Below are 11,684 nucleotides of genomic sequence, written 5' to 3' on the forward strand. Positions count from 1 at the left end.
TTAAGTCTTTAATCCATCTTGAATTAATTTTTGTATAAGGTGTAAGGAAGGGATCCAGTTTCAGCTTTCTACACATGGCTAGCCAGTTTTCCCAGCACCATTTATTAAATAGGGAATCCTTTCCCCATTGCTTGTTTTTGTCAGGTTTGTCAAAGATCAGATGGTTGTAGATGTGTGGTGTTACTTCTGAGGGCTCTGTTCTGTTTCATTGGTCTATATCTCTGTTTTGGTACCAGTATCACGCAGTTTTGGTTACTGTAGCCTTGTAGTATAGTTTGAAGTCAGGTAGTGTGATGCCTCCAGCTTTCTTCTTTTGGCTTAGGATTGTCTTGGCAATGTGGGCTCTTTTTTGGTTCCATATGATCTTTAAAGTAGTTTTTTCCAATTCTGTGAAGAAAGTCATTGGTAGCTTGATGGGGATGGCATTGGATCTATAAATTACCTTGGGCAGTATGGCCATTTTCACAATATTGATTCTTCCTACCCACGAGCATGGAATGTTCTTCCATTTGTTTGTATCCTCTTTTATTTCACTGAGCAGTGGTTTGTAGTTCTCCTTGAAGAGGTCCTTCACATCCCTTGTAAGTTGGATTCCTAGGTATTTTATTCTCTTTGAAGCAATTGTGAATGGGAGTTCACTCATGATTTAGCTCTCTGTTTGTCTGTTATTGGTGTATAAGAATGCTTGTAATTTTGGTACATTGATTTTGTATCCTGAGACTTTGCTGAAGTTGCTCATCAGCTTAAGGAGATTTTGGGCTGAGATAATGGGGTTTTCTAGATATACAATCATGTCATCTGCAAACAGGGACAATTTGACTTCCTCTTTTCCTAATTGAATACCCTTTATTTCCTTCTCCTGCTTAATTGCCCTGGCCAGAACTTCCAACACTATGTTGAATAGGAGTGGTGAGAGAGGGCATCCCTGTCTTGTGCCAGTTTTCAAAGGGAATGCTTCCAGTTTTTGCCCATTCAGTATGATATTGGCTGTGGGTTTGTCATAGATAGCTCTTATTATTTTGAGATATGTCCCATCAATACCTAATTTATTGAGAGTTTTTAGCATGAAGGGCTGTTGAATTTTGTCAAAGGCCTTTTCTGCATCTATTGAGATAATCATGTGGTTTTTGTCTTTGGTTCTGTTTATATGCTGGATTACATTTATTGATTTGCGTATGTTGAACCAGACTTGCATCCCAGGGATGAAGCCCACTTGATCGTGGTGGATAAGCTTTTTGATGTGCTGCTGGATTTGGTTTGCCAGTATTTTATTGAGGATTTTTGCATCAATGTTCATCAAGGATATTGGTCTAAAATTCTCTTTTTTGGTTGTGTCTCTGCCAGGCTTTGGTATCAGGATGATGCTGGCCTCATAAAATGAACTAGGGAGGATTCCCTCTTTTTCTATTGATTAGAATAGTTTCAGAAGGAATGGTAACAGCTCCTCCTTGTACCTCTGGTAGAATTCAGATGTGAATCCATCTGGTCCTGGACTTTTTTTGATTGGTAAGCTATTGATTATTGCCACAATTTCAGAGCCTGTTATTGGTCTATTCAGAGATTCAACTTCTTCCTGGTTTTGTCTTGGGAGGGTGTATGTGTCCAGGAATTTATCCATTTCTCCTAGATTTTCTAGTTTATTTGCATAGAGGTGTTTGTAGTATTCTGTGATGGTAGTTTGTATTTCTGTGGGATAAGTGGTGATATCCCCTTTATCATTTTTTATTGCATCTATTTGATTCTTCTCTCTTTTCTTCTTTATTAGTCTTGCTAGTGGTCTATTAATTTTGTTGATCTTTTCAAAAAACCAGCTCCTGGATTCATTACTTTTTTGAAGGGTTTTTTGTGTCTCTATTTCCTTCAGTTCTGCTCTGATTTTAGATATTTCTTGCCTTCTGCTAGCTTTTGCATGTGTTTGCTCTTGCTTTTCTAGTTCTTTTAATTGTGATGTTAGGTTGTCAATTTTGGATCTTTCCTGCTTTCTCTTGTGGGCATTTAGTGCTATAAATTGCCCTCTACACACTGCTTTGAATGTGTCCCAGAGATTCTGGTATGTTGTGTCTTTGTTCTCGTTGGTTTCAAAGAACATCTTTATTTCTGCCTTCATTTCGTTATGTACCCAGTAGTACTCAGGAGCAGGTTGTTCAGTTTCCATGTAGTTGAGTGGTTTTGAGTGAGCTTCTTAATCCTGAGTTCTAGTTTGATTGCACTGTGGTCTGAGAGACAGTTTGTTATAATTTCTGTTATTTTACATTTGCTGAGGAGTGCTTCACTTCCAACTATGTGGTCAATTTTGGAATAGGTGTGGTGTGGTGCTGAAAAAAATGTATATTCTGTTGATTTGGGGTGGACAGTTCTGTAGATGTCTATTAGGTCTGCTTGGTGCAGAGCTGAGTTCAATTCCTGGGTATCCTTGTTAATTTTCTGTCTCGTTGATCTGTCTAATGTTGACAGTGGGGTGTTAAAGTCTCCCATTATTATTGTGTGGGAGTCTAAGTCTCTTCGTAGGTCACTCAGGACTTGCTTTATGAATCTGGGTGCTCCTGTATTGGGTGCATATATATTTAGGATAGTTAGCTCTTCTCGTTGAATTGATCCCTTTACCATTATGTAATGGCCTTCTTTGTCTCTTTTGATCTTTGTTGGTTGAAAGTCTGTTTTATCAGAGACTAGGATTGCAACTCTTGCCTTTTTTTGTTTTCCATTTGCTTGTTAGATCTTCATCCATCCCTTTATTTTGAGCCTATGTGTGTCTCTGCACGTGACATGGGTTTCCTGAATACAGCACACTGATGGGTCTTGACTCTTTATCCAATTTGCCAGTCTGTGTCTTTTAATTGGGGCATTTAGCCCATTTACATTTAAAGTTAATATTGTTATGTGTGAATTTGTCCTGTCATTACGATGTTAGCTGGTTATTTTGCTCGTTAGTTAATGCAGATTCTTCCTAGCCTTGATGGTCTTTACATTTTGGCATGTTTTTGCAGTGGCTGGTACCAGTTGTTCCTTTCCATGTTTAGTGCTTCCTTGAGGAGCTCTTTTAGGGCAGGCCTGGTGGTGACAAAATCTCTCAGCATTTGTTTGTCTGTAAAGGATTTTATTTCTCCTTCACTTATGAAGCTTAGTTTGGCTGGATATGAAATTCTGGGTTGAAAATTCTTTTCTTTAAGAATGTTGAATATTGGCCCCCACTCTCTTCTGGCTTATAGAGTTTCTACTGAGAGATCCGCTGTTAGTCTGATGGGCTTCCCTTTGTGGGTTACCTGACCTTTCTTTCTGGCTGCCCTTAACATTTTTTCCTTCATTTCAACTTTGGTGAATCTAACAATTATGTGTCTTGGAGTTGCTCTTCTCGAGGAGTATCTTTGTGGCGTTCTCTGTATTTCCTGAATCTGAATGTTGGCCTGCCTTGCTAGATTGGGGAAGTTCTCCTGGATAATATCCTGCAGAGTGTTTTCCAACTTGGTTCCATTCTCTCTGTCACTTTCAGGTACACCAATCAGACGTAGATTTGGTCTTTTTACATAGTCCCATATTTCTTGGAGGCTTTGTTCATTTCTTTTTATTCTTTTTTCTCTAAACTTCCCTTCTCGCTTCATTTCATTCATTTCATCTTCCATCACTGATACCCTTTCTTCCAGTTGATCACATCGGCTCCTGAGGCTTCTGCATTCTTCACATAGTTCTCGAGCCTTGGCTTTCAGCTCCATCAGCTCCTTTAAGGACTTCTCTGCATTGGTTATTCTAGTTATCCATTCGTCTAATTTTTTTTCAAACTTTTTAACTTCTTTGCCATTGATTTGAATTTCCTCCTGTAGCTCAGGGTAGTTTGATCATCTGAAGCCTTCTTCTCTCAACTCATCAAAGTCATTCTCCATCCAGCTTTGTTCCATTGCTGGTGAGGAGCTGCGTTCCTTTGGAGGAGGAGAGGTGCTCTGTTTTTTTAGAGTTTCCAGTTTTTCTGCTCTGTTTTTTCCCCATCTTTGTGGTTTTATCTACTTTTGGTCTTTGATGGTGGTGACGTACAGATGGGTTTTTGGTGTGGACGTCCTTTCTGTTTGTTAGTTTTCCTTCTAACAGACAGGACCCTCAGCTGCAGGTCTGTTGGAGTTTGCTAGAGGTCCACTCCAGACCCTGTTTGCCTGGGTATCAGCAGCAGTGGCTGTAGAACAGCGGATATTGGTGACCTGCAAATGCTGCTGCCTGATCATTCCTCTGGAAGTTTTGTCTCAGAGGAGTACCCGGCGGTGTGAGGTGTCAGTCTGCCCCTACTGGGGGGTGCCTCCCAGTTAGGCTGCTCGGGGGTCAGGGACCCACTTGAGGAGGCAGTCCGCCCGTTCTCAGATCTCCAGCTGCGTGCTGGGAGAACCACTACTCTCTTCAAAACTGTCAGACAGGGACACTTAAGTCTGCAGAGGTTACTACTGTCTTTTTGTTTGTCTGTGCCCTGCCCCCAGAGGTGGAGCCTACAGAGGCAGGCAGGCCTCCCTGAGCTGTGGTGGGCTCCACCCAGTTCGAGCTTCCAGGCTGCTTTGTTTACCTAATCAAGCCTGGGCAATGGCAGGCGTCCCTCCCCCAGCCTCGCTGCCACCTTGCGGTTTGATCTCAGACTGCTGTGCTAGCAATTGGGGAGACTCCGTGGGCATAGGACCCTCTGAGCCAGTTGAGGGTTATAATCTCCTGGTGTGCCATTTTTTAAGCCCGTTGGAAAAGCACAGTATTAGGGTGGGAGTGACCTGATTTTCCAGGTGCCGTATGTCACCCCTTTCTTTGACTAGAAAAGGGAACTCCTTGACCCCTTGCACTTCCTGAGTGAGGCAATGCCTTGCCCTGCTTTGGCTCATGCACGGTGCGCTGCACCCACTGTCCTGCACCCACTGTCTGGCACTCCCTAGTGAGATGAACCTGGTACCTCAGATGGAAATGCAGAAATCACCCGTCTTCTGCGTCACTCACGGGCTGGGAGCTGTAGACCGGAGCTGTTCCTATTTGGCCATCTTGGCTCCACCCTCAAATTGATTTTTGACAAAATATGTAAAGACAATTCAAAGCAGAAAAAGTAGACTTTTCAACAAGTGGTGTTGAAATAATTGGGCATCCATGTGCCAAAAGATCAATCTCAACCTCAATGGCATATCTTATATAAAAATTAATTCAAAATTAATCACAAATATAAATGTCAAATTGAAAATTGTAAAACTTTTAGAATAAAACATAGGAGAAAATTCTGTGATCTAATGTTAGGGAAAGAATTCTCAGCTATGACAGCAAAAGCTCAACCCATAAAAGAAGAAAATGATAAATGGACTTATCAAAACTTAAAACTTTGCTCTTCAAAAAACACTGTTACAAGGAAGAAAAGACACACTACAGTTTGTGAGAAAAGATTTGTAAATCACCTGTCTGAAATAGAACTTGTAACAGGAACGTATGAAGAACTCTGAAAACTTAAACACATTATTAAATGGGCTAAAGACTTGAGCAGAAATTAACCAAAGAAGATATATGACAGGCAAATTACTGTAGAACTGTAGAATGTGTTAACTCTGTTCTTTCCTCCTTTATATGTAAATTTTATAAATATTTATTTACTTTATTTGAACTAATTTCCCCAAATTATTCAATATTTTCATATTTGTTTATAGGTAACTTTTTAGATTTAAAGACAAGTTTACAAATTTATTTACTCAACATTCTTACATCTTAGTCCTTTTTCTTAGGTTAAATTTTCTTCTTACTGTATAGTAGATGCTTTGTTTGTTTGCTTGCTTGCTCACTTTAAATATATTTTTCCCTAACTCCTAAATGATAGTGAAGCTGGACATATATTTTTTGGTTGGCGGTTCATTTCTTTCACCCTTGTGAAGATTTTTCCATTATCTCTGGCTTCCTGTTGCTGTTGATATGTCTACTGTTTAGTTGGAATTCTTTTATATATATTCTTAAGAGATAATCCTTTTCTGCTGTAGCTTTCAAGATTTCTCACTTGGTATTTGGTGTTTTGCAGTTTTACTGTGATGTATCTAGATAAAAGATCATTTTTATTTACCACTTCTGGCACTCACTGTGATACTGAAAAATTCTCCCCCATTATCTCTATTTTTTCCTTCTGGGAGTCTTATCAGGCATAGGTTAAATTTCATTTTATCCTCCATGCCTTTTTTATAATTTTCAACTATATTACCCTCTTTGCTGCATTATAATAATCTCCTCAAATCTTACAGTCCATTAGTTATCTTTACCTGCGTATAATCTACTACTAAAGCATTCTATCAAGTTTTTAATTTTAGTGACTTCATTTTTGATTTCTAGAAAATCCATTTGATTATTTTTCAAATATGCTTGGTCTTTTCTAATCATGTCTTTTTTTCTCCTTTATTTATTTTATTTTTATATGTTTAGTTATTTTTAAACATATGTATTTTCTATTATCCAAGTGTTCTAATATCTAAAAGTCTCAGGTTTTATCTTACAGTTTGTTGTTTCACTGATTCTCACTCTTGGTAAATATTTTTTAGTGTAGTTACTTAGATTTGGATTATGAGCTCATCTTCAGCAGGGCTTTTCACTGTGGGAATTGAGGTCCAGTGCATGGAATGTCCCTCAAAAATGTTCGTTTTTCTTCTGCTAGCTGTCATTAGCAAAAGTACTACTAATTATTTGTTAACTTTTTAGTTTGGGGATTTAACCCTCACACTTGCACGAATGGCCATGGTTGCATGTTCTAAAAGGAGCTTTTTTATTCTACCAAGAATCCAGAGCAAAAGAAAATGGATAATTTTTTTTCTATTTGTGCTTTCACTGAAGTTGTAGCATTTTGAGCATCCTAACATTATATGAAGATATGAGTTTTGATGCACCTCTTTGGATGGATTTAAATCCTAATCTGATATCTTCATTTGAGCATCAGAAATAGAGTCCTTAGATTTTACCATGACTCAGTCTCTACCACCCAATTTATCACCCACTCTCACCTCTAGTAACCATGGCATCAGCTATTGAGGTTACCACTCAGGTTCATTTCAGGGACCTAATGATTACCTTCCAGTGAGCTCAGCTGTGCATTTAGACAGGTTTTTTGTTGTTGTTGTTGTTGTTGTTGTTTTATTGTGGTAGTGGTAGCATTTGGGGGTTAGTTTTATTTTTATTCCTTGGAACAGTATTCCCCCAACTATTTTTTAATCAGGGCGCATGTTTCAAATAATATTTACATGACAATCTGAGGTTAAATGGAAGAGAGGAGGCCTGCTTTTGCCTCTGACTAGCCAAGTTGCTTAACATTTCCATATCCATTTTCCCATCTGTGAAATGGATGCAACAATAGTACCTACTCTATAAAGTTGTTATAAAAATTAAATGAATTAGTATCTGTCAAGTGCTTAGAATCTACTTGGCATATAGTAAACACTGTTTAAGAATTTTTTATATAAAATGAAAATAAATAAGAAAATGTCAGCAGTGTTCTAGTATATTAATGTGTATCATTAAAACAAAGAAAGTTCATTTTACTTTAAAACCTGGCACTAATTGTGTCAATAAAGTATTAATAAGAACCAAAAGTGTTTTTATTTGAAATCACTAGGTTAGCACACCTGAAGTTGAATGGTAACATTCACTCAATCCAATTCTCATCACTCAATAACAACATTTCTCTTCTCCATCCTATATATTCACCTTGTCACTGACATGTCTCAAATTCCTGTAAGCAAAAAATTGTAGATAACAAGTAAAGTGACTACTGCATCTCTCCATTTCCCACTCAGAGAAACACCCAGAGTTTCTAGGAAACACACAAATCCCAAAAGGAAATGAAATTAAAGGATTATAGGCGTTTCTTTTATCCTCATTTTAACTTCTCAGGAATGACCACTTTGGCATATTGCATATTGGAGTCTCTATCAGCCAGCACCAGTCCAGTGGAGAATAACTTCCTGAGGAACACAACAAGATTTCCAACAATCCATATATTTCTGTATATTTGGAGAAAGCCAAATTTCCAGTTATAAATATTTAAGCTCAAAGTTAATACCCTCTTCCTTTGATTTGAATGGGCTTCTAATACTTGCATTTTCATTTCTTGGTCTGGCTAGAAATGACTTAAAAACTAAAGCAGAGGCTGTCATATCTTTTCCTAGAATCTCTCTTAAAAGTTCTTTTTTTTAATAGGGTATTTTAGGGAAAGCTTCCCTAACTATCCATGTTAAGGAAGAAAAAAAAACATTAACCTTTAGGTTAAATCTTACCTGGTCATCAATAAGTTTTAAAGTCAAAGCAGGAAGGGACTAGTCATAATTACCAAAAAAAAATCACACAGAGTTCAGTAACACCTCTCAGTAAGTCCGACACAGGCAATTTTTCTCCTTGCATTGGCTCCAATGATCATGTCCTCAGTTCAGCTGGCTTAGGTTTGCTTGCATTTAGGAGTCATGTTGTTGGAAAAAAAATGTTTATATTTAGATATTAGAGTTCCAGTCAGGGGGATTAGATGCTCACACTATCAGAATATAGGATTACTGTGTCCCACAGGGAGAACAGCAAACTTGCACCTAGTGTTCACTGACCAGAAGAATAAGCAGAATCACCTGCCCAACTTAAATAGCCTTCTTTCCTTCCCTGGAGTTAAGTGTCATCAGATTTAATCATTCTTTGTATCTATGATGATGTAAAATTTGGTTTCACTGGTTTCCAACATATTTTTTGAAAATTAAAAGAGAAAATGGAGAACAGCATTTGAATCAGTAACGATTCAAGATCTAGCCTAGATTTCCCAGAGGAATAATCATAAAAGAGAGTCAAAAAGTAGAATTTGACATAAATGATATAATTTCTGGTTTATATGCTACTAAACTTGCTTACTGATGCTTAAAATGGCTGAACATTTGATAATAGCAAAGATGTCTTTTCCTTTAAAATCTTTGAGCTTTGTGCTTTAAGAGACATTCTTTCAATACATCAAAAAAATGAAAACGTGTGACTCAAAATATGCATTTCATACTTGTTTTCAAATTGTTCTAGGGAGTACAAGATTCAAGAGACATTTGTCAGAAGAATTCAGTTCATTAGAACTAGAATCAACTATTGAAATTTTCAGGAAGGCATATATTAACACACAGCATACAAAATAAATTTTTAACAATTAGAGCTGCCGAAGAATGAAATAGGTTCTCTTATGAATTTATGAGTTTCCTAACAGTGGATGCATAAATGGAATAATTGTACATGAAGGCATCTAGTTACAGAAGGTTCTCATATGTTTATAAACTTGAATCACACTCAACCCGGATGATTTCTTATCAGAGCACTACTAGGTATGACTTGAATGAGCTAATTCCTAAGATCTCTTTGAGTTCTAAAAGTCTTTATTATTTACTAGAAAAAAAATGGTTCACTTATTTATAATTATCCCCCCTCTTTGAATGTGTTGGACTCTTCCAGAAACAGTCAAGGCAAGCTGCAACGTGAGAAACGGTCACAACACAGTCAGTCCAAGGTTAACTAAGGAACCCCAACCAAGTCACAACAGTAGCTCTAGATTAGAGTGGGAATTGTGAATACAAAGCAAACAAATATCCTTTGAAATCAGAATAAACAGACTGTAACTTAATTTGGTTATTGTGTAGTCCTGATAAAAGACAAGTTGAGATTTGCTTTAGTCTGTTTTGCGTTGCTAAAAAGGAATACCCAAGACTAGGTAATTTATAAAGAAAAGAGATTTATTTTGCTCATGGCTCTGCAGACTGTACAAGCATGGCACCAGCATCTGCTCGGTCTCTGCTGGGGCCTCAGGAACCTCCCAGTCACATCAGAAGGCAAAGGGAGAACAGGCATGTCACATGGTAAGAGAGGGAGCAACCAGCTCTCATGTGAACTAACAGCAAGAACTCACTCATCACCATGGGAAGGGCACCAAGCCATTTATGAGGGATCCACCCATATGACCCAAACACCTCCCTCTAGGCCCTGCCTCCAACATTGGGGATGACATTTCAACATGAGATTTGGAGGAGACAAACATCCAAACCATAATCAGGTTTGCTTCAATCACAATCTTTTGCTTATTCTGGAAAATACTGGCTTGAACTTTATTCTACTGGAAATAAACCAAGATATTAGAAGGTCCTTGAGATCTTCCCCAAATTTGCATCTCTGAATAAGACATATCAGGGCACATTTCATGTGGTACATATTTTAAGATGTCTGTTAACTTAAATAAATAGAGTTCAATTTTTGTGGGGAAAAAAGGGAAATCTTGCACACTGTTGGTGGAAATGTAGATTGGTGCAGCCATTACGGAAAACAGTATGAAGGTTTCTAAAGAAATTAAAAATAGAACTACCATATGACCCAGAAATCCCTCTTTTGGGCATATACAGAAAGGAAATAAAATCACCACCTTGTAAAAATATCTGCACTCCCATGTTCATTATAGATTACTCACAGTAGCCAAGATATGAAAACAACCTAAATGTCCATGAACAGAATGGATAAATACACTGTAGTGTATATATACATAAACAATGGATTATTATTCACCCTAAACAAAGAAAAAGATCTTGCCATTTGTCACAGTATGGATGAGCTTGGAGCACATTATGCTAAGTAAAACGTGCCAGACAAAGAAAGAAAAAATATTACATAATATCACTTATACGTGGAATCTATTTTTTTTAATTCAAATATACCAAGATAGAGGACAAAAAGAGCAGTTACCAGGGTCAGCCTGCAGGGAGGAAACGGGGAGATACAGATCAGAGGATGTAAAATAGCAGGTATATAGGATGAACAAGTGTTGGGATCTAACGTACAACATGAGGACTATACGTAATAAAATTGTACTGTATCTAGGATTCAAGCTAAATGAGTAGATTTTAGCTGCTCTGGCCACAAAAACACAAAAAAAGATAACTGTAAGGTAAGTGTATTAATTTATATCACCGTAGTAGCCCTTTTACTATCCATATGTATTCCATAACATCATGATATATATATATATTTAAATATGTATAATAAATATATAATATATCATATTTATATATTTAAATATATAATAAATATATATCATATTTTATATACTTAAATGTACAATATATAATATATATTTAAATATATAATAAATTTATTTTAAAAAATAAAATTAAAAATTTTTTAATTGAGTAAAATTTTATTTGTCCTTTATTAAAACCATTAAGGCAGATGAAATAGGAAGCATTATCATGGAATGCAAAATAATCATCATTAATTACCTTTGCTCATTATAATTTTTATTTAATAAAAACAAAGATATCAATACACTGACATATCAATATTATGATAAATATCAATAAAAGTTAGCTAATGAAAAAGTACATAGATAATAATTGGTATTTGATTAGAAATCTTAGTGATTAAAGAGGCATTTCCTAAGAAAGGTTTATTTCCTCAGATTACTGAGGTAATGGTCTCCAATTATTGATCTAGTACCCTGTCAGTAATAAATTTGAACATGACCTCCAATGTACAGACATTTTTGTTAGTTTATAAATTATATTTATGTTGTATTTCCACATTAGCTGAATTTTAAAGTGCAAAATACATTTGGGGCGAGTTGCATTGTAACAAAAGTAGATAATTTAAATAATCTTTTTGATCCTTTCAAATTTCTTTGTCTAGCTTCTTATTATTTAAGTATATTATGTGGTAGATAA

General features: G+C 36.6%; 2 annotated features.

Annotated features, from left to right (window-relative positions):
* Nucleotides 4,033-4,533: an enhancer, noted in NCBI's record as "H3K27ac hESC enhancer chr5:87310460-87310960 (GRCh37/hg19 assembly coordinates)". NCBI's record gives its function as "activates a minimal SCP1, AML or CMV promoter by ChIP-STARR-seq in naive H9 embryonic stem cells {active_cell/tissue: H9 hESC(naive)}" and the evidence as "EXISTENCE:reporter gene assay evidence [ECO:0000049][PMID:30033119]".
* Nucleotides 4,534-5,034: an enhancer, noted in NCBI's record as "H3K27ac hESC enhancer chr5:87310961-87311461 (GRCh37/hg19 assembly coordinates)". NCBI's record gives its function as "activates a minimal SCP1, AML or CMV promoter by ChIP-STARR-seq in naive H9 embryonic stem cells {active_cell/tissue: H9 hESC(naive)}" and the evidence as "EXISTENCE:reporter gene assay evidence [ECO:0000049][PMID:30033119]".

The sequence above is a fragment of the Homo sapiens genome, chromosome 5 (assembly GCF_000001405.40).
Source record: "Homo sapiens chromosome 5, GRCh38.p14 Primary Assembly".
Classification (NCBI taxonomy): domain Eukaryota; kingdom Metazoa; phylum Chordata; class Mammalia; order Primates; family Hominidae; genus Homo; species Homo sapiens.